The sequence below is a fragment of the Homo sapiens genome, chromosome 12 (assembly GCF_000001405.40).
Source record: "Homo sapiens chromosome 12, GRCh38.p14 Primary Assembly".
Lineage (NCBI taxonomy): Eukaryota > Metazoa > Chordata > Mammalia > Primates > Hominidae > Homo > Homo sapiens.
In genome coordinates this window covers 48,704,895-48,727,657 of record NC_000012.12, presented here as the reverse complement: position 1 = coordinate 48,727,657, position 22,763 = coordinate 48,704,895, and the positions used below count along the sequence as shown (strand labels likewise).

At 43.6% G+C, this 22,763-nt stretch overlaps 2 protein-coding genes across 11 annotated transcripts in view, besides 4 other annotated features; one reads left to right on the top strand and one right to left on the bottom strand.

The window, feature by feature from the left end:
• Nucleotides 1-223, bottom strand: part of SPMIP11 (sperm microtubule inner protein 11) — a 44,025-nt gene extending 43,802 nt beyond the window's left edge. For all 5 annotated transcript variants that reach the window (XR_002957306.2, NM_001351125.2, XM_024448926.2 and 2 more), the window contains exon 1: nt 99-223. Coding sequence is in view for 1 of the 5 variants with exons in the window: in NM_001351123.2 (NP_001338052.1) it covers nt 99-177 (79 nt within the window). In the remaining 4 variants the exon portion in view is untranslated. The remainder of the gene's footprint in view (nt 1-98) is intronic.
• Nucleotides 3,363-4,037: an enhancer, noted in NCBI's record as "H3K27ac hESC enhancer chr12:49117404-49118078 (GRCh37/hg19 assembly coordinates)". NCBI's record gives its function as "activates a minimal SCP1, AML or CMV promoter by ChIP-STARR-seq in naive H9 embryonic stem cells {active_cell/tissue: H9 hESC(naive)}" and the evidence as "EXISTENCE:reporter gene assay evidence [ECO:0000049][PMID:30033119]".
• Nucleotides 9,836-10,836: an enhancer, noted in NCBI's record as "H3K27ac hESC enhancer chr12:49110605-49111605 (GRCh37/hg19 assembly coordinates)". NCBI's record gives its function as "activates a minimal SCP1, AML or CMV promoter by ChIP-STARR-seq in primed H9 embryonic stem cells {active_cell/tissue: H9 hESC(primed)}" and the evidence as "EXISTENCE:reporter gene assay evidence [ECO:0000049][PMID:30033119]".
• Nucleotides 10,197-10,436: an enhancer, noted in NCBI's record as "active region_6287". NCBI's record gives its function as "activates an Ori minimal core promoter by ATAC-STARR-seq in GM12878 lymphoblastoid cells {active_cell/tissue: GM12878}" and the evidence as "EXISTENCE:reporter gene assay evidence [ECO:0000049][PMID:35858748]".
• Nucleotides 10,907-11,186: an enhancer, noted in NCBI's record as "active region_6286". NCBI's record gives its function as "activates an Ori minimal core promoter by ATAC-STARR-seq in GM12878 lymphoblastoid cells {active_cell/tissue: GM12878}" and the evidence as "EXISTENCE:reporter gene assay evidence [ECO:0000049][PMID:35858748]".
• CCNT1 (cyclin T1) overlaps nt 10,951-22,763 on the top strand; it is a 28,250-nt gene continuing 16,437 nt past the window's right edge. For 4 of the 6 annotated variants that reach the window (NR_182118.1, NM_001413199.1, NM_001277842.2 and 1 more), the window contains exons 1-3: nt 10,951-11,143; nt 13,134-13,215; nt 21,762-21,890. Coding sequence is in view for 5 of the 6 variants with exons in the window: in NM_001413199.1 (NP_001400128.1) it covers nt 10,983-11,143; nt 13,134-13,215; nt 21,762-21,890 (372 nt within the window). In the remaining variant the exon portion in view is untranslated. Of the gene's footprint in view, nt 11,374-13,133; nt 13,216-15,081; nt 15,411-21,761; nt 21,891-22,763 lie in introns of those variants that run through there. The other 2 variants (NM_001413198.1, XM_017020197.3) reach the window with 2 other exon arrangements.

Below are 22,763 nucleotides of genomic sequence, written 5' to 3'. Positions count from 1 at the left end.
TCTAACCCCAGGTAGGAAAATAAATAGCTAGGAAGTGGCTATGAAGCATCTAGGTAAAGAAGTGGCCCTTCTAACCCTCTACCCTATATTCCCCTTACTTGTTTCTTCAGTTGTGTTCCTTTTCTTGTTCTGAAAGGAATTTTGATATCCCAATAGATACAAGTTGAAGAAGGCCATCTCAGATCCTCCCTGGCCTCTTCTGGAACGTCCAGGTTGGGGCACTGGACTCTGTGCCTGGTAACCATGGTAATGTCCTAAGAATTACCACAACTGACACTCCCTTTGTCTAATGAGGCACAGGATTTATAGGTTCACAGTGGAGCTGGAGTGGGAGTGGGCTAAATAACTTCAGGAAAATGGAGGAATCAATTGTCAGTACACCTTTTCTTGACCTAGTCTTCCAGTGTAAGCTTCAGAAGGCAGTGAGTAGAAAGAGCACCGACCTGGGCTCATATCTTAGTTATGCCATATTCTAGGTGTCTGACTTTGAATAGATTAACTAAGCCTCCATTTTCAATTTTAAATTAAAAAAATGACAATGACAATATCTGACAGTTATGAGAATCAAATGAGATAATATATGCATATTTCCTTAGAACGGTGTTCAACACATAATGGAAACTTAAATTTTTTTTTTTTTTTTTTTTTTAAGAGTCTCCCTCTGTTGCCCAGGCTGGAGCGCAATGGCGCTTTCTCGGCTCACTGCAACCTCTGCCTCCAGGTTTCAAGAGATCCTCATGCCTCAGCCTTCCGAGTAGCTGGGATTACAGGGGCGCGCCACTACACCTGGCTAATTTTTGTATTTTTGGTAGAGACAGGGTTGACCAGCCTGGTCTTGAACTGCTGACCTCAAGTGATCTGCCCTCCTCGGCCTCCCAAAGTGCTGGGATTACAGGTGTGAGCCACCACGCCCCACCAGTATTTAAATGTTAATAGTTATCCAGCCTTATATTCAGGAAAAAAAAGAAATCTGAATAGGATACTTTCAATGAGTCTTTGTTTCAGCAGTGGTGTGCCAATCCATAGTGACTTTTGAAAGCTTGTTAAATTTTCATTGATTTTGTGAATTGGTTGTTAAACAAGGCATTATTAAAAATCAAATTAACTAAACTTACAATTGAATGTTATATTAAAAATAAAGGTAGTACATCGGGTGTGGTGTCTCACACCTGTAATCCCACCACTTTGGGAGGCCGAGACAGATGGATCTCTTGAGCTCACAAGTTTGAAATCAGGCTGGGCACCATGGTGAAACCCTGTCTCTACAAAAAAATAAAACCCACAGAAATTAGTTGGGTGTGGTACGTGACTGTAGTCTCAGCTACTTGGGAGGCTGAGGTGGGAGGATGGCTTGAGCCTGTGTGGTGGAGGTTGCAGTGAGCTGAGATTGTGCCATTGCACTCCAGACTGGCAATAGAGCCAGATCTTGTCATAAAATAAAATAAAAGTAGTAAATACTAACAAGTCATCTCTTCCTGATTATTTTACTCTTATCTATGCTCATGAGTTTATTTACTTCCATTGCATCTGGATATTCCACTCTTTTTTCATTCGTTTTTCTCTTTGTTTTTCCGTTTGGGAAGTTTCCTATTGACATATTTTCAAGCTCACTGATTTTTTTCCTTTGTCATGCCCAGTCTACTGATGAGCCCACCAAAGGCATTCTGCATTTCTGTTACAGTGTTTTTTATTTCTAGCATTTCCTTTTGATTCTTTAGAGTTTTCATCTCTCTGCTTACGTTGCCCTTTGTTCTTGAATGTTGTCCTCTTTTTCCATCCTTTGTTCTTGAATGTTGTCCTCTTTTTCCATTAGTGTCCTTAACATGTTAATAGTTATTTTAAAATCTCAGTCTGATAATTCCAAAATTTCTGCCATATGTGAGTCTGGTTCTGATGCTTGATTTGTCTTTTTTGAGATGGAGTCTCACTCTGTCGCCCAGGCTGGAGTGCAGGGGCACGTTTTCAGCTCACTGCAACCTCCGCCTCCTGGGTTCAAGCAATTCTTCTGCCTCAGCCCCCTGAGTAGCTGGGATTACAGGTGTCTGCCACCTTGCCTAACTAATTTTTTATTTTATTTTTTTATTTTTATTTTTTTATTGATCATTCTTGGGTGTTTCTCGCAGAGGGGGATTTGGCAGGGTCATAGGACAATAGTGGAGGGAAGGTCAGCAGATAAACAAGTGAACAAAGGTCTCTGGTTTTCCTAGGCAGAGGACCCTGCGGCCTTCCTCAGTGTTTGTGTCCCTGGGTACTTGAGATTAGGGAGTGGTGATGACTCTTAACGAGCATGCTGCCTTCAAGCATCTGTTTAACAAAGCACATCTTGTACCGCCCTTAATCCATTTAACCCTGAGTGGACACAGCACATGTTTCAGAGAGCACAGGGTTGGGGGTAAGGTCACAGATCAACAGGATCCCAAGGCAGAAGAATTTTTCTTAGTACAGAACAAAATGAAAAGTCTCCCATGTCTACCTCTTTCTACACAGACATGGCAACCATCCGATTTCTCAATCTTTTCCCCACCTTTCCCCCCTTTCTATTCCACAAAACCGCCATTGTCATCACGGCCCGTTCTCAATGAGCTGTTGGGTACACCTCCCAGATGGGGTGGTGGCCGGGCAGAGGGGCTCCTCACCTCCCAGCAGGGGCGGCCGGGCAGAGGCGCCCCTCACCTCCCGGGTGGGGCGGCTGGCCAGGCGGGGGGCTGACCCCCCCACCTCCCTCCCGGACGGGGCGGCTGGCCTGGTGGGGGCTGACCCCCCACCTCCCTCCCGGACGGGGTGGCTGCCGGGCGGAGACGCTCCTCACTTCCCAGACGGGGTGGCTGCCGGGTGGAGGGGCTCCTCACTTCTCAGAAGGGGTGGCTGCCGGGCGGAGGGGCTCCTCACTTCTCAGACGGGGTGGTTGCCGGGCAGAGGGTCTCCTCACTTCTCAGACGGGGCGGCCGGGCAGAGGCGCTCCTCACATCCCAGACGGGGCGGCGGGGCAGAGGCGCTCCCCACATCTCAGAGGATGGGCGGCCGGGCAGAGAGGCTCCTCACTTCCTAGATGGGATGGCGGCCGGGCAGAGACGCTCCTCACTTTCCAGACTGGGCAGCCAGGCAGAGAGGCTCCTCACATCCCAGATGATGGGCGGCCAGGCAGAGACGCTCCTCACTTCCCAGACGGGGTGGTGGCCGGGCAGAGGCTGCAATCTTGGCACTTTGGGAGGCCAAGGCAGGTGGCTGGGAGGTGGAGGTTGTAGCGAGCCGAGATCACGCCACTGCACTCCAGCCTGGGCACCATTGAGCACTGAGTGAACGAGACTCCGTCTGCAATCCCGGCACCTCGGGAGGCCGAGGCTGGCAGATCACTCGCGGTTAGGAGCTGGAGACCAGACTGGCCAACACAGCGAAACCCCGTCTCCACCAAAAAAATACGAAAACCAGTCAGGTGTGGTGGCGCGCGCCTGCAATCGCAGGCACTCGGCAGGCTGAGGCAGGAGAATCAGGCAGGGAGGTTGCAGTGAGCTGAGATGGCAGCAGTACAGTCCAGCTTCGGCTTGCCATCAGAGGGAGACCGTGGAAAGAGAGGGAGAGGGAGACCGTGGGGAGAGGGAGAGGGAGACCGTGGGGAGAGGGAGAGGGAGAGGGAGAGGGACTGGTCTCGATCTCTTGACCTCGTGATATGCCTGCCGATTGCCTAACTAATTTTTGTATTTTTAGTAGAGATGGGGTTTTGCCATGTTGGCCAGGCTGGTCTCGAACTCCTGACCTCAGGTGATCCACCCACGTCAGCCTCCCAAAATGCTGGGATTACAGGCGTGAGCCATTGCTCCTGGCCTTGCTTTGTCTTTCTAGATTTTATATATATATATGTATATATATATATATATATATATATATATACATATATATATACACACACACATTATATATATATATACATATTATATATTATATATATATAGTTTGTTTACATTTTAGCATGCCATATAATTGTTTTAAGTTGGACATTATGTATTGGGTAAGGGTCAGGTTTTGAGTTTATATGGCTAGGAATTAGGTTGTGTTTACTGTTTGCTATAGCTGTACGTGTTAGATGCTAAAATTTCCTCTGGTGTCCTTGTTTTTGCCTCCCTTGCTCTTTGACTTTCCTTAGAGACTCTTCCTGAAATAGGGTCTGGGCCTTGCAGTTTTTTTCAGTTGTAATCCCATTATTATACAGGAGCCCTATTAAGGTGGATGGGGGGAAAGGATTCCATAATTCTATTATTAGGTCTGTCTTTTATTGCACGTGTATCCCTGGGCTGTAACCTTCACAACTGTATCATTTTTTCCCTCTCTCACATGAAACAGGAAGACAAGAGGAGGCTTCTGTTGGGTATATCCTTTCTCCCACATTGGTTAGGCTCTGTTCAACAGTTTCCCTTGAAGGCAGGCCTTTGTTAAGGAGCACAGAATGCTCTGGGTGTATTTCAAAATGGCTAACTTCTCTCTCTCCCTGTTGGAAGCAAAACTCACAAAAATGTGGGGGACTGCTTAACACTGGGTCTCTAGGAGTTTTAAAAAATATCTCAAGCTAGTCCATGTTCAGTCTCCAGCAATTAGTCAATTGCCCTATAAGTATTTCTACCAGTTGCTGGTTCCAGTAGTAGCTTTTCTTCCAACTAAGTCATGATTCTGTGTTCCACCTATTTTGAGTCCAAATGTTTCTCCAGATTTTGGGGTGAAGGTTGGCCCTGGAACCTTGATTCTCTGAAGGGTCTAAGAAGGGTTGTTAAGTTTCAGTTTGTTTGGCTTTTTCCTTCTTGTGAAAATGGGAGTGATGACTTCCAAGCTCTTTACCTGTCAGACTGGAAACTGGAACGCCCTATCTATTTTATCTGTCTGGAGAAAATAATATGTGATGGTGTGTGCCTCTTTTCCCAATTTTATGATCAGTGATGTCATATGGGCATATTGAAATCAGGCATGGTGGGAGGATTTATATCACAGAAATTGGCAAATGTTACAAACAAAGCTTGATTTATTCATTTAGTTGATTGTCTGAACTTAAGGAAGTGATAGAGAAAATGTTAATAATTCAGATTAAGTTTTAAAGCCTGTATCATGTCTGGCTGGGCGTGGTTGCTTACGCCTGTAATCCCTGCACTTTGGGAGGCCGAGGTGGTTGGATCCCCTGAGGCCAGGAATTCAAGACCACCCTGGGCAACATGGTGAAACCCCATCTCTACTAAAAATACAAAAATTGGCCAGGTGTGTTGGTGTAGGCCTGTAATCCCAGCTACTCAGAAGGCTGAGGCAGGAGAATTGCTTGAGTCTGGGAGGTGAGGTTGCAGGGAACCGAGATTGTGCCACTGCACTGCAGCCTGGGTGACAAAGTGAGAGTCTGTCTCAGAAAAAAAAAAAAGTATGTCATGTCTAAAGCCATTACATTGTTACATTGTTGCTAGCACAAAAATTTGACATATTGTTCCAGTATTTAAAAGCTATTATCTAATTGGATGTGGTGGCATGTGCCTGTTGTCCTAGATATTTGGCAGGCTGAGGTGGGAGGACCACTTGAGCCTAGGAGTTTGAATCCAGCCTGGCCAACATAGCAAGATCCCATCTCTAAAAAAAAAAGAGGGGCGCACATTCTTAGGACCTTCTGAAGCTGTTTCACAGAAAAAATAAAAATTTAAAAATAATAAAAACAAAACTTCGGCCAGGTGCGGTGGCTCACACCTGTAATCCAGCACTTTGGGAGGCTGAGGTGGGTGGATCACCTGAGGTCGGGAGTTTAAGACCAGACTGACCAACATGTAGAAACCCCGTCTCTACTAAAAATACAAAATTAGCTGAGCATGGTGGCACATGCCTGTAATCCCAGCTACTCAGGAGGCTGAGGCAGGATAATTGCTTGAACCCAGGAGGTCAAGGTTGCAGTGAGCCAAGATCACACCATTGCATTCCAGCCTGCGCAACAAGAGTGAAACTCCATCCAAAAAACAAAACAAAAAAACAGACAAACCCAAAACACCATGAAATATGGTAGAATCCTATACCCAGAACAAGACTAGTCTCTAGTAAATAGGAGGAGTAGCCCTATAGGTATGGCTTAAAAGAAATGGAGTAATATTTACATTTTTTAAAAAAGGAAAATTCCTCTGGTTTAGGATTTTGTCAATTATTCTTTAAGAGTAATGTATCTAAAGGTTAATGTATGCCCTAAAGAGTGGCATACTTAACCAAGATAGCAGACTCAATATGGAGTCATTAATCCAAGAGATTAAGTGGAGAACCAAGCACAGGTCAGAAAATTAGACAACAGGAATCTGGAATAAATGATCTTGGCTATTGATATGGTTTGGTTCTATGTCCCCACCCAAATCTCATCTTGAATTGTAACTCCCACAATTCCCACATGTCGTGGGAGGAAACTGGTGGGAGGTGATCGAATTATGGGGCAAGTCTTTCCTGCACTGTTATCATGATAGTTAATGAGTCTCACGAGATCTGATTGTTTTTAAAAAATGGGAGTTTGCCTGCACAAGCTCTCTCTTTGCCTGCCACCATCCACTTAAAATGTGACTTGCTCCTCCTTGCCTTCAGCCATGTGGAATTGTGAGTTCTCCATTAAACCTCTTTCCTTTGTAAATTGCCCAGTCTTGGGTGTGTCTTTATCAGCAGTGTGAAAATGGACTAATACAGTAAATTGGTACCAGGAGTGGGGTGTTGATGAAAAGATACCCAAAAATGTGGAAGTGACTTTGGAACTGGGTAACAGGCAGAAGTTGAAACAGTTTAGAGGGCTCAGAAGAAGAGAGGAAAATGTGGGAAATTTTCAAACTTCCTAGAGACTTGTTGAATGGCTTTGACCAAAAGCCTGATAGTGATATAGACAATAAGGTCCAGGCTGAGGTGGTATCAGATGGATATGAGGAACTTGTCGGGAACTGGAGCAAAGGTGACTCTTGTTATATTTTAGCAAACAGACTGGCAGCATTTTGCCCATCCTAGAGATTTGTGGAATTTTGAACTTGAGAGAGATGATTTAGGGTGTCTGGCCGAAGAAATTTCTAACCAGCAAAGCATTCAAGAGGTGACTTGGGTGCTGTTAAAAGCATTCAGTTTTATAAGGGAAGCAGAACATAAATGTTTGAAAAATTTGCAGCCTGACGTGATAGAAAAGAAAAACCCATTTTCTGAGGAAATCTGCATAACTAAAGAGAAGCTGAATGTTAATACCCAAGACAATGGGGAAAATGTCTCCAGGGCATGTCAGAGGCCTTCATGGCAGCCCCTCCCATCACAGGCCCAGAGGTCTAGGAGAAAATGGCTTCGTGGGCCAGGCCCAAGGTCCCCATGTGTGCTGTGTGCCACCTAGGGAGTTGGTGCCCTGCATCCCAGCCACTCCAGCCATGGCTGAAAGTGGCCAACACAGAGCTTGGGCTGTGATTTCAGAGGTGCAAGCCCCAAGCCTTGGCAGCTTCCACATGGTGTTGAGCCTGTGAGTGCACAGAAGTCAGGAATTGGGCTTTGGGAACCTCCGCCTAGATTTCAGAAGATGTATGGAAACATCTGGATGCCCAGGCAGAAGTTTGTTGCAGGGGCAGGGCACTCATGGAGAATCTCTGCTAGGGCAGTGTGGAAGAGAAATGTGGGGTTGGAGCCCCCACACAGAATCCCTACTGGGCCACTGCCTCATGGAGCTGTGAGAAGAGGGCCATGGTCCTCCGGATCCCAGAATGGTAGCTCCATTGACAGCTTGCACCATTTACCTGGAAAAGCCACAAACAGTCAATGCCAGCCTGGAAAGGGAGATAGGAGGGAGGCTGTACCCTTCAAAGCCACAGGGGCAGAGATGCCCAAGACCATGGGGACCCACCTCTTGGATCAGTGTGACCTGGATGTGAGACAGGGAGTCAAAGGGGATCATCTTGGAGTTTTAAGATTCGACTGCCCTGCTGGATTTCGGACTTGCATGGGGCCTGTAGCCCCTTTGTTTTGGCCAATTTCTCCCATTTGGCATGGTTGTATTTACCCAATGCCTGTACCACCATTGTATCTATGAAGTAACTAACTTGCTTTTGATTTTACAGGCTCATAGGTGGAAGGAACTTGCTTGTCTCGGATGAGACTTTGGACTGTGGACTTCTGAGTTAATGCTGAAATGAGTTGAGACTTTGGGGGACTGTGGGGAAGGCATGACTGTATTTTGAAATGTGAGGACATGAGATTTGGGAGGGGCTGGGGGCGGAATGATATGGTTTGGCACTGTGTCCCTACCCAAATCTCATCTTGAATTGCAACTCCCACAATTTCCACATATGGTAGGAGGAACCCGGTGGGAGGTGATTGAATTATGGGGGTGGGTCTTTCCTGTGCTGTTCTCATGATAGTGAATGAGTCTCATGAGATCTGATGGTTTTAAAAAAATGGGAGTTTGCCTGCACAAGCTCTCTGTTTGCCTGCTGTCATCCATGTAAGATGTCACTTGCTCCTCCTTGCCTTCCGCCATGATTGTGAGGCTTCCCCAGCCACGTGGAACTGTGAGTTCTCCATTAAACTTCTTTCCTTTGTAAATTGCCCAGTCTTGGGTTTGTCTTTATCAGCAGCGTGAAAATGGACTAACACAGCTGTTCAAAAGATAACATACATGACTACATAACTGAAAAAGTGCTTATTCTACTAAAAAATCTATTTTGTAAGTGCTTATTCTCTTAATAGTAAAGAGTCTGTGAGGGAAGAAATTTGAAATCCCAAGTTCTTTTACTTTATAACTAGAAGTAAGTCATTTAAATCTTCCTGAACCTCAATTTCTCCAGGGTAAAATGGAGCTAATACTAACTACAGGCAGTATATGGCAGAGGTGACCTGAATGGAAAGAAATACTTCTGAGAATGAATGACAATCAAGCATAGTAAGATCACCCATGCCTAGAAATGACAAAACCCAAAATATTATCAAAGCAAGATGAAGGATTCTAATATTATCCAAATCTATCTAAAATTACCCATATTTAATCAAGGTAAACTGAATATGGTTCCAGAAAAGCAGGAATACAGCTTGCGTGAATGGAAAGATCAATGGAATTAGATTTAAGATCTACACTTATTAGTGGTGTAGTGAGGGCAAACTCCCAAAGCCTCAGTTTCTGTATTGTGGGTGTTTTGCACATTTATCTGACAAAGATTTATGGACTATTTACTAGGGCCAGGGCTTTACTAGGTAAGTGCCATACAAAAATGAAGGCATTGCTCTTGCCTTCAATTTCAATACAATGTAACAAATATTATAACAATAAGGGCTACTGAATATTTTCTAAGTACTAGGTACTATTATAAATACTTTTTACTCATTAAATCTTTACTCCCTTTCACTATCTAAAACATAGGTATTATCACAGAAAAGAGGCATAGAGAAGTTAACTATCTTGCCCAGCACCAAACAGTTATCAGAGGCTGGAGCTGGGATGTATCTTTTTTTTTTTTTTTTTTTTTGAGAAGGAGTCTCGCAATGTTGCCCAGGCTGGAGTGCAGTGGCGCGATTTCGGCCCACTGCAACTTCTGCCTCCCGGGTTCAAATGATTCTCCTGCCTCAGCCTCCCGAGTAGCTGGGAGTACAGGCGTGCGCCACCACGCCTGGCTAATTTTTGTATTTTCAGTAGAGATGAGGTTTCACCATGTTGGCCAGGCTGGTCTCGAACTCCCGACTTCAGGTGATCCACCCGCCTTGGCCTCCCAAAGTGCTGGGATTATAGGCTTGAGCCACCGCGCCCGGCAAAGGAGCTGGGAAATATTTTGACAGAGGGCAAGAACTTGCTAATCTGTGCAAGTGAGGGGTAGTGGTGGAGGCTTTCCACACTCAAGGGGCAGTTTTAGTTCACCCATTCGCAAACGTACTTAAAAATTACCTCTTAGAGTTGTGCTGAATAAATGAAACAGTATATTTAAGTCAGTATTGTGCCTGGGACATGTAAGCTCTTAATTAATGTTATTAATTTCATTTTATTCCTTTAAGTTGGATCACTGGCGAACAACGTGAGAATGTTTTCATGCCTTTGGCTACACATTAAAGCGACCTCTCCAAATGGGTTGTCGCATTTTACATTGCTACCAACAATGTAACAGCCTTCTAGTTGCTTTATGCTCCGATATACGAAAGAGCCCCACCATTTGATTCTGTTTTTCAGTTTCTGACAGCCTCACCTACTTTCTCTTTCAAGTTCATCTGCCACATTTTTACTTATTTTATTTTTTTGAGACGGAGTCTCGCTTTCTCACCCAGGCTGGAGGCTGGGGTGCAGTGGCGTGATCTCGGCTCACTGCGATCTCCGCCTCCCGGGTTCAAGCGATTCTCCTGCCTCAGCTTCCCGAGTAGCTGGGACTACAGGCGCGCGACACCACGCCGGCTAATTTTGTATTTTTAGTAGAGACGGGGGTTTCACCATATTGGCCAGGCTGGTCTCGAACTCCTGACCTCGTGATCCGCCCGCTTCGGGCTCCCAAAGTGCTGGGATTACAGGCGTGAACCACCGCGCCCGGCCCATCTGCCCCATTTTACATCACCACTGCCGTCACAAACAAAGTTCTCGTAAGAACCGCCAAGCGGCGCGTGGGCGGCCGCCCCATCCCACTATAATTGCGGCCTCGCAGCCTGACCCGGGGCGCCAACGCTCAATCCGGTTCTCGCGGGAAGATACACGGTTTTTAAGAAAGAACTTCTAACCCCACTCCACCGCCCAACGGTCACGTGACGCGCCTGCGTCCTCGCCTCAAGGTTTTTTCTGGTCGCATATTGGCTGTTAACTCGGCTACGGGGTGTAGCGAGGTGCATTCCGGAAGTAGGTCCTTTGACTTTTGCTTCCTCTACGGAGGCAAGTAACAACCCGGCGGTCGACGCTTAGCGGAAGTTCGTCAAGTCGCAGTTGCCCCCGCACAGCGGATGTGGGTCGCCTCTTAGGTGACGCTGGGAAGTGCCTGCAGCCTTCGCCGCTGCCTTCTGGTTGAAGCACTATGGAGGGAGAGAGGAAGAACAACAACAAACGGTGGTATTTCACTCGAGAACAGCTGGAAAATAGCCCATCCCGTCGTTTTGGCGTGGACCCAGATAAAGAACTTTCTTATCGCCAGCAGGCGGCCAATCTGCTTCAGGACATGGGGCAGCGTCTTAACGTGTATCCTTGTGGCCTAGGCCTTCGGCCTTGGAGTTGGTCCCGCCATGCTCTGGCGTCCGGGTCTCAGGCTCTGTGGGGGGGACGAAAGTGGGGAAGAAGGTGGGCAGAAGCTGGATGTCTAGTTGGGAGAGCCCACGATGGGGCGGGCTGAAACTCAGTTAGCGCTAGGGAAGCGAGGCAGAGTTGATTTCCCGCTCGCTCACCCGTGCCGCCAGCCTTGCTGGGAATTCGTATCCTTCCCGGCTTTGTGTTTTAACCAGCCCTTCCAACTCTGTCTTCATTGTGTTCTGATCTGCTCTGGTGACGTTAAGATTCTCATTTTCCGCTGTGCCCTAGGGGTCTAGGTCTGGCAGAGGTTTCTCTGTTGACGGCTGCCTCCCAAACCTAGTGTGTAAATTTCGAGAAATTCAGTACCTGAAAGTGTTATAAAGGGTGGACTAGAATTAATGCCTCAGCCTTGGTCCAAAATCCATTCCTCATCTACTAGCTGTTTAAGTGACCTCTCAAATTTTTGGCCGTCTTGTCTATAAAATGGGATAATACCTCTTGTGTTTGATTCTGTGTCCAGCACAGTGCTTTGCATTCAGATGCTCAGTTAGTAGCTACTGTTTTATAGAATTTCAGAGGAAAGATGTTAGTTTACGTTTGTAGGGGATACCCACGAATCTAATGTTTTAAATAGTTTACAAAATACCGGGTCCTTAACTTACTTAGAGTGATGATATGTATTTCATTTTCAAAAATGAGGTAACGGCTGGATGCGGTGGCTCACGCCTGTAATCTCTGCACTTTGGGAGGCCGAGGCGGGTGGATCACCTGAGGTCAGGAGTTCGAGACCAGCCTGGCCAACATGATTAAACCCCTGTCTCTACTAAAAATACAAAAAATTACCCCGGCGTAGTGGCGGGCAGCTGTAATCCCAGCTAGTCAGGAGGCCGACGCAGGAAAATCGCTTGAACCCGGGAGGCGGAGGTTGCAGTTAGCCGAGATGGCGCCACTGCACTCCAGCTTGGGCAACAATAGTGAAACTCCGTCTCAGAAAAAAAAAATTAAAAAAAAAATGAGGTAACCTCTCCCACATATTTTTGTTTGTTAGGAAATACACTTATTTTATGGTGGAGAAAACTAGTATAGTTTTAAATTTCTTTCCACTCTGCGTGTGAAAATTTTCTTGGGTGCAGCTTCTATTTAAATGTGTGGCTGACAGTAATGTGTGTATCTTAAGGGTGTGTTCATCTCAAAATGGGTGTCTGTTTTATCGCCAGTTTGTTTCCTGCTGATGTCCAGGTTTGTTTCCTAAGCATCCTGTCAGTATGGAGTTAAATCTTTTTGTTCGAAATTCTATTTCAGTGCATCCTTAAAATGCTTTCCTTTTTGTATGTGTGTTGTCATTAAGGTTGTCAGCCAGGCGCGGTGGCTCGCGCCTGTAATACCAGCACTTTCGGAGGCCAAGGCAGGTCGATCAGTTGAGGCCAGGAGTTCAAGACCAGCCTGGCCAACATGGTGAAACCATGTCTCTACTAAAAATACAAAAAGTAGCCAGGTCTGTTGGTGGGCGCCTGTAATCTCAGCTACTGGGGAAGCTGAGGCAGGAGAATCGCTTGAATTTGGGAGGTAGAGGTTTCAGTGGGCCAAGATGGTGCCACCGCACTCCAGTGTGGGCGACAGAGTGTGAGCCACCGCGCCTGGCCGCCTTATATAGTTTTTAAAAAAATCTGTCTAGATTCATACATCCTGAGATGTTTGTTTATTCATTCAGTACATTTATATTAAATATTTGTTATGTGTAAGGCATTGTGCTAAGTGTCAGTTGGCGATTAATAATTTGGTGAAAGAAAACAGACATATTCTTTGATTTGGAGAGATAAGTATGATTTTCATTTAGTAGTATCTACTTGCTTGGCCATTTCATCCTTTTGGGAGGGAGATAGAGGTTATCTTTTCCAGAATTATACCTGCCTGTTTTTGGATCTTAACTTGAACACTTCAGCTCACAATTGACTATCAACACTGCTATAGTATACATGCATCGATTCTACATGATTCAGTCCTTCACACAGTTCCCTGGAAATGTAAGTATAATTTTTTTATATGATATAATCCTTTTGTGATTGATTCCACCTACCTATTCCATTTGTGGTTGGTCTTTGCTACTGAACTGTAACTTGAACTTTAGAATTTAGGGTTGATCACTTCCATTATGTGCTGTGTTGCTGTTCTGAATCCAGCTTTTCAGTTTTCCTGTTAAGTGTCTACTTGTCTAGTGGATTTAGTATATCCATGTCGATTCTCTAAAGAAGTAGATTAGGCCGGGTGCAGTGGCTCACAACTGTAATCCCAGCACTTTGAGAGACTGAGATGGGAGGATCACTTGAGCCCAGGAGTTCAAAACCAGCCTGGGCAACATAATGAGACCTCATTTCTACAAAATATCAAAAACAAAAACAAAAAGCAAGTAGCTGGGTGTTGTGGTATGCATCTGTGGTCTCAGCTACTCCAGCAGCTGGCAAGAGGATTGCTTGAACTCAGGGAGTTGAGGATGCAGTGAGCCAAGATTGAGTCGCTTCACTCCAGCCTGGGCATCAGAGTGAGACCCTGTCTTCAAAAAAAACCCCAAAAAACAGATTATCAGACATCTAAAGTCAACATTTTGGGGTTGGAGGAGTAACATTAAAGGGGAAATCATGTGGAATTTAGGTATAGCTTTCTTTTTCTTGCTGGGGTAGGGAGACAGGCAGGGTCTTGCCCTGTTGTCCATGGTGGAATGCAGTGATTTGATTATGGCTCATTGCAGCCTTAACCTTCTGGGCTCAAGCAGTCCTCCTGCCGTAGCCTCCCAAGTAACTGGGACCACAGGCTTGCCAACATATCTGGTAATTTTTAAAATTTTTTTTGTGAAGATGGGGTCTCCCTGTGTTGTCCAGCCTGGTCTCAAACTCCAGGGTTCAAGGGATCCTTCCGCCTCCGCCTTCTAAAATGTTGGGATTACAGTCATGAGCCGCCATTCCTGGCATTAATTTTGAAGTAGTTTATAAAATATGGTCACAGCAAAAGAAGTAAATGTAAGTTACTTAGATTTTCCAAAAGCCTTTGATAAAATTCCAGTCAGCAGTTGGAGGGGAAAGCACATTATGTAATAATAACTGGGAAAATGACTTTTAAGAACATGAAAAATAGGCTATGCATGGTGGCTCATTCTTATGTATAATCACAGCACCTTGGGAGGTTCAGGTGGGAGGACTGATTGAGCCCAGGAGTTGGAGACCAGCCTGGGCAACACGGTGAGACCCCGTTTCTACAAAAAAAAAAAAAAAGGTAAAAAAAATTTTACAAAGAACAGGAAGAATAAAATTATACTAATAAAGAAATTTTATTTTTTTGTACAGAATTATAAATAGTGATCTTTTCAGTGTAGCTATTTGAAATGGTCCTATTTAACATTATTATAAATGACTTGGAATTGAATGCATAGTGATATCCCAGTTCTAGGAAGGACTGTATTTACTTAATAAAACGCCAAGGTAATAGGGATAAACTTGATGAGTACTTCATATGGATTGATTTTTTTTTTTTTGAGATGGAGTTTCGCTCTTGTTGCCCAGGATGGAGTGCAATGGCACGATCTTGGCCCTTTGCAACCTCCGCCTCGCAGATTCAAGCAATCCTCTTTCCTCAGCCTCCCAAGTAGCTGGGATTACATGCATGTGCCACCACACCTGGCTAATTTTTGTATTTTTAGTAGAGACGAGGTTTCACCACGTTGGCCAGGCTGGTTTTGAACTCCTGACCTCAGGTGATCTGCCCGCCTCAGCCTCCCAAAGTGTTGGGATTACAGGTGTGAGCCACTGCACCGGCTGTATACTTCAAATGGATTTGTGAGTCAAGTATTTCCCTGCTTTTTTTTTTTTTTTTTTTTTTTATTTTTTTTTTTTTTTAAGGAAAAGATTATCCTGCTGGGCACGGTGGCTTAAGCCTATAATCCCACAACTTTAGGAGGCTGAGGCGGGCGGATCACCTGAGGTCGGGAGTTTGAGACCAACATGGAGAAACCCCATCTCTACTAATACAAAAATTAGCCAGGCGTGGAGTTTCATGCCTGTAATCCCAGCTACTCAGGAGGCTGAGGCAATCACTTGAACTGGGGAGGCCGAGGTTGTGGTGAGCCGAGATCGCTATTGCACTTCAGCCTAGGCAACAAGAGCGAAACTCCATCTCAAAAAGAAAAAGATTATGCTTTTGAGGATGCTTATTTCGTATCCTTAGAATGGTGGGTTTTCAGATTTATTATTACTTTTTTAATGCTGTAGAAAGAGAGTTTATGAAGCTAGACATAGCTCCTGAAATGTAAGAAACTGGCAGAAACAGTATTGGGAGTAACTGCACAGGAAACTTTTTGGATTTGTGAATTAAGATTTTTGTGGGCCAGGTGCCGTGGCTCAACGCCTGTAATCCCAGCACTTTGGGAGGCCAAGATGGGCGGATCACGAGGTCAGCAGATCAAGACCATCCTGGCTAACATGGTGAAACCCCGTCTCTACTAAAAATACAAAAAAAATTAGCCGGGCGTGGCGGTGGGCGCCTGTAGTCCCAGCTACTCGGGAGGCTGAGACAGGAGAATGGCATGAACCCAGGAGGTGGAGCTTGCAGTGAGCCGAGATCGTGCCACTGCACTCCAGCCTGGGCGACAGAATGAGACTCCGTCTCAAAACAAAAAGAAAAAGATTTTTGCTGATGATCCACCCAGGTTGGCTTTCTTCTGCCCTTAGCCCCTGTACCTCTAGTCATGCCCTGGAGCTTTGCTCTGGCTCTGATTGCAAGGAGTATATCCTTCTTATTAAAAGAGAGAGAAGCCTGTTAGCATTTAACGAGGCTATCTGATAGCACCAGAATAGAAGGTAGTGAGTAGTTAAAAAGTGAAATTTGAAGAGGAAATTCCTAGCCATTTTGCCAGTTCTGAAGGTTTTCTATAATTCTTCCCTTTTATTATGATAAAGACTTGAAATTTGGGGTGAAGTGAATCTCAAATCAAAAAAAGAAACTCTCAAATCAGTTTGTCCACTCTTCATGTATAGGTTAATATATATTTTCCCCTCCTTTTAACTTTTATTTATTTATATATTTATTTATTTATTTTTGAGATGGAGTCTCACTCTGTCACCCAGGCTGGAGTGCAATGGCGCCATCTGAGCTCACTGCAACCTCCACCTCCCAGGTTCAAGCGATTCTCCTGTCTCAACCTCCCAAGTAGCTGGGACTACAGGCACCCGCCACCACACCCAGCTAATTTTTGTATTTTTAGTATAGACAGGGTTTCACTATGTTGGCCAGGCTTGGCTTCAACTGTTGACCTTATGATCTGCCCGCCTCATCCTTCCAGAGTGCTGGGATTACAGGTGTGAGCCACCGCGTCCAGCCTTATCTTTTAAGTTATATCTTTTTTTATTTTTTTGAGACCTGGAATCTCTCTCTTTCCCCCAGGCTGGAGTGCAGTGGCTGCGCGATCTCAGCTCACTGCAACCTCCGCCTCCTGGGTTCCAGCAATTCTCCTGTCTCAGCCTCCCGAGTAGCTGGGATTACAGGCGCCTGCCACCACACCCAGCTGATTTTTGTATTTTTAGTAGAGACGGGGTTTCACCATCTTGGCCAGCCTGGTCTTGAATTCCTGACCTCACGATCCACCCGCCTTGGCCTACCAAGTGCTGGAATTATAGCCATGAGCCACTGTGCCAGGCCATATCTTTTTATTTCTTATCTGTTAAGCTTAACAAGGACAGAGATTCCCTTTTCTGTATATTCTCTAAAGCAGTTTCAGTAAACTTATTGAATGAATGGATGATCTGGTAGTTATCCAATATAGAGATATTCTTTCAAACATTTTTATATATATTTATTTTTTAGAGACGGGAGATCTCGCTCTGTTGCCCAGGCTGGTCTCAAACTCCTGGCCTCAAGCTGTCTTCCCACCTCAGTCTCCCAAAGTGCTGGGATTGCAGGCATGGGCCACTGCACCTGGCTAGTATAGGGATATTCTTTTGGATGTCATGACCTTTTTCAAAATCCACTGATTAATTTGAAGTTGTTGATCCTTTTTAGAGGATTGATTTTAGGCACATTTTGGAATCAACAGATTCCAGATTTAATATCACCTTTTAACATACTAATTCTAAGTTTAGCTGTGATGAATCCAAATTTAAATGTGAGAGGACTTAATACATTAAATGTGGCCTAATAATCAATGTGGCATTGATATGTTATATATCCTGTCAAGTCCTCAGGCATTTTTGTATGTGTGTGTGTGTTTTTCTTATTACAAAGGTATTAGAGGCTGGGCGTGTTGACTCAGGCCTGTAATCCTAGCACTTTGGGAGGCCGAGTTGGGTGGATCATTTGAGGTCAGGAGTTCGAAAACATCCTGGCCAACATGGTGAAACCCCGTCTCTATTAAAAACACAAAAATCAGCCGGGCATGGTGGCGTGCACCTGTAGTCCCAGCTACTCACTTGGGAGGCTGAGGCAGAATTGCTTGAACCCGGGAGGTGGAGGTTGCAGTGAGCTGAGATCGTGCCGTTGCACTCCAGCTTGGGTGACAGAGTGAGACTCCATCTCAAAAAAAAAAAAATGAAGAAACCCAAAGATATTATAATAAATTCCCATGGTAAAAATTAAGACAGTACAGAAATGTATGTGGAAAGTGAAAACTACTCTGTAATCCCACCCAGAGATAACCATTGATAAATGTTTGGTTTATAGTGACCCAGACATTTTTCTGTGCACATAAACTAGCATTGAGGTATTTTTATTTAAAAAATCATATCTTGCTATGCTACTGTTGCACAGCTTGCCTTTATCATGTAACAGTATGTATTGGACATCTTTCCATACTTCCCTTTATTATTTTTTGGATTTCTTATTATTTTAATTTGCCACATGGTATTTGTGTAGTTACTGTAGTTTATTTAACCAGCTTTTTATTGATAGCTATTTGGGTTGTTGTTCTAGTTTATTATATTGTACATTATGTTTCATGGGATAGTCTTGTACATATATAGTGCACTTATATAAGCATTTTAATACAAGTTCCTATAGGTGGAATTGCTGTGCCCAGAGTATACAATGTATAAAAATTTTTGTAGTGTCAGTTTGCCCTACTGAAAGATTATACATTGTTTCCAGCACTGTAGGTGAGGGTCCTTTTCTTTCCACCCTAACAAACAACAAATATTAATTACCTCAAGAAACATTTATCTAGTTCTTTGTTTTTGAAACGGAGTCCCCTCTGTTGCCCAGGAGTGCAGTGGTGCCATAATTTAGTTTAGTTTTATTTTGGTTTTATTAGTTTATGCCATACTTTTAGTTTCTAATAGGCTTAAAACCTTAGTCTTTGACTTGTCCTTTTCCCCTTTGTTCAGTTAGTTATAGTCCCCCCCAACCCCAAGATAGGTTTTTACTCTGTCACCTAGGCTAGGCTGGAGTGCAGTGGTACAATCATAGCTCACTGCAGCCTCCATGTCCTGGGCTCAAGTGATCCTTCCACCTTACCAAGACTACAGTGCCACCACGCCCAGTGAATTTTCCTTTTGATTTTTTGTAGAGATGAGGTCTTGCTATGTTGCTCAGGCTTGAGCTCAAGGGATCCTCCTGCCTTGGCCTCCCAAAGTGCTAGGATTATAGGCAAGAGTCTGCACCCAGCCTATAAAGTCTTGCTAATTTTATAATGTTACCATTTTTTCCCTCTCCTTATAAATATGTACTTTTTAAATTATCAAAAAATTGGAAGAGGACGGACAGGAAATAAAGAGATAATCCTGTTAACATTTTAGAGTATATCCCATTAGAATTTTTTCTTTGTATGCAAGTACATGTACATATATTTAGTGCAGCCCTATTAGTTTTACAAAGTGATGCCTGTGTTTCTTTTTTCCTTTATTTCTACTGCTAGTGTCTAAACTTTTTTTTTTTTCTTTTTTTGAGACAGAGTCTCGCTCTGTGGCCCAGGTTGGAGTGCAATGGCGTGATCTTGGCTCACTGCAACCCCCACCTCCTGGGTTCAAGCGATTCTCCTGCCTCAGCCTCCCAAGTAGCTGGGACCAAAGGCGTGTGCCACCACTCCTGGCTAATTTTTGTATTTTTAGTAGATATGGAGTTTTACCACGTTGTCCAGGCTGTTCTTGAACTCCTGACCTCAGGTGATCTGCCTGCCTTGGCCTCCCAAAGTGCTGGGATTACAGGCGTGAGCCACCACGCCCGGCCTACTCTAAACTTTTTAAAATTCTTTTTTCTATATTTTAAAATAATTTTTAAAAAACAGAGACAGGGTCTCATTGTGTTACGCAGGCTGATCTTGAACTTTGGGCTCAAGTGATTCTCCTGCTTTGGCCTCCCAAAGTGCTCTAAACTTTATGTCCTAATGCCTAAATTATTATTTAAGTTAACTTTTATTTTATTTTTTGAGACAGTATGGCTCTGTTGCCCAGGCTGGAGTACAGTGGCATGATCTTGGCTCACTTCAACCCCTGCCTTCTGGGTTCAGGCAATTCTCCCGAGTAGGTGGGACTACCCTACTACAAGACTCCTGAGTGGTGGTGTGTGCCACCACGCCCGGCTAATTTTTGTGTTTTTAGTAGAGACGGGGTTTCACCATGTTGGCCGGGCTGGTCTTGAATTCCTGACTTCAAGTGATCCGCTACCTCGGCCTCCCAAAGTGCTGGGATTACAGGCGTGAGCCACAACACCCAGCCTGAATTAACTTTTAATGTATCCCATCCTTTTCTCCTAGTTTTACCTACCATCAGATTACTCCTTCTAAATATTACTTTGTTTTAAAAATTTATTTTTATTAATTATCATGGGTACATAATAGTTATATACATTTATCATAAACATTTCTTAAACGATATTTTTCAAAATCTTTAGTGTCACTCTTGTTAAGAATCTTGGCTGGGTGAGGTGACTCACACCTGTAATCCTAGGACTTTGGGAGGCAGAGACAGAATTACTTGAGCCCAGGAGTTTGAGCAGCCTGGACAATGTAGGGAGACCCCATCTCTATTAAAAATAAAAATAAATTAACTGGGTGTGGTGGCGTGTGCCTGTGATCCCAGCTACTTCGAAGGCTGAGATGGGAATATCTCCTGAGCCCAGGAGGTTGAGTGGAACTGTGATTTTGACGCCACTGCACTGCAGCTGGGTGACAGAGTGAGATGCTGTCTCAAAAAAAAAAAAAAAAGAAAGAAAAAAAATCTAGTGTTCCACATCCGATTATCTAATGTATTTAACTACTCAGTTTAGTATTGAAAATGTGCTTTACGCCTAGATCACCATACCTTTGTTCATATCCATTTTTCTCTGATCCTGTTTTGTTTATCCTAAAGTCTGAGGAATATATATGTAGTATGCTTCATATTCATCTGAAACAAATGTGAAGGAAAAGAATCACTGTGTTTACTTAAAACAGTTTTTTCCGTATGTGTATGGAGATGGAGTCTCTCTCACTATGTTGCCCAGGCTGGTCTCGGACTCCTGGGCTCAAGTGATCCCCCGCCTCTGCTTCCCAAAGTGCTGAGATTATAGGCTTGAACCACTGTGTCTGGCCTAAAAAAATTTTGTTTTAAATTATTTTTGTCTCCTATGGTCTTGTCTGAAATCAATACTATGAGTTGAATTTGTGGAGAAAAACTTACTCTAGAAAAGTATAGCATAGGTGACATCAGGGTTACAAATAAGTATTAGAATATCAGTTCTAGTCAGTAAAATGAAATATATATTTAAATTCTGTAAAATTATTTATGTATTTCTTTGACTCCTGGTGAAATACAGCTCTTAGCATTACTATCTTTGAGTCACTGAAATGTTCTTAATATTCAAGAAAAGTTCTATTTCCTGAAGTTTCCAAGATCACCAGGCTACATTTATGTCATATTGCTTTAATCTTTTATAAAGTTTGTTATCTACTTTTATATTGACTTCAATTTTTCCCTCTTAATGCTTTCTATAAATAATGTCTTGCATATAATGCCATGCTTTGTATTTTTGAAAGGTTCGATATGTATAAGTAATTGAGATATAATTCACGTACAATGAAATTCGTTTGTTTAAATTATATAGTTCACTGGTTTTTAGTATATGCGCAAAATTGTGCAACCATCAGCACAGTCTAATTGCAGAACATTTACATCACCCCAGAAAACTCCTCACCTATTAGCAGTTATTCCTATACTCCTCTCCCCGCAGCTCCTGGCAACCACTAAACTTTTTCTCTATATGGATTTGCGTATTCTGGACATTTCAGTTTACTCCTTAAAAAATGTATTGAGTGATTTGATACAAACTTAATAAAGAATCTCACTTTAAATAGAAAACTGTCTGCTTACATCTAGTAGCTTCTCCCATAGACAGCTTTTAATGACAGTTTGTCAAAGAATTGGTATTTGGAAGTGGAGATGGATTAATGGGTAGGAGAGGGGAAGATGGTAGAAGCGGGGGGGCGGGAAAGGGTAAAGAGGTGACAAAGTTGAGGCAAGCAAATAACTTGATTTGAGACTTAGCTCCTCTTTAGATCTACCTTACTCTATGAATGAATAAATTGATAATAAATATGATTTATTTTCTCTCCATTCAGTCTGTGGCTCCAGCAGCCTTGTTTCTAGCAGCTAAAGTGGAGGAGCAGCCCAAAAAATTGGAACATGTCATCAAGGTAGCACATACTTGTCTCCATCCTCAGGAATCCCTTCCTGATACTAGAAGTGAGGTAGGAGATTAATTACACATCTGTTTTTCTTAATTTTTTTCCTTTCTTTTTTTTTCCCTACTCCCAAGCATGCCTGGATCTTTATGTATTTCAATGCAACTTAATTTTATAACTTCGATTTATTGAAGTTTAGATTGGTGTTGTTAAAAGAATATTTTAGTGTTTGTGTTTTTCTTAACAGTAAGAAAATCAGGCCAGGTATGGTGGCTCACCATACCTGTAATCCTAGCACTTTGGGAGGGTAAGGTGGGAGAATCACTTTAGGCCAGAAGTTTAAGACCAACCTGGACAACATAGCAAGACCCTGTCTCTATATTTAAAAAAAAGAAAAAAAAAAGCCAGATGTGGTGGCTCATGCCTGTAATCCCAGCACTTTGGGAGGCTGAGGCAGGAGAATTGCTTGAGTCCAGTTCGAGACAAGCTCTGGCAACAAAGTGAGACCCCATTTCTACAAAAAAAGAAAAACAACAACAACAACAACAACAAAAAACAACTGGGCATGCTGGCTCACATCTTTAGTCCCAGCTACTTGGGAGACTGAGGTGGGAGGGTTGCTTGAGCATGGGATGTTGAGGCTGCAGTGAGCCATGATCACACCACTGCAGGCAACAGTGCCAGGACTCTGTCTGAAAAACAAAACACATAAATTTTATGGCGAAAGTTTTGTATTTGTTGCAGTAAAATTTGAAAATACAGAAAAATTCAAGAATAAAATATCTCTCAGATATATTCTAGACCAATGGTCCCAGACCTTTTTTGGCACCTGGGACTGGTTTCATGGGAGACAGTTTTTACATGGACAGGGGGTGGGGTTGGAGATGGTTTTGGGATGATTCAAGCACATTACATTTATTGTTCACTTTATTTCTATTA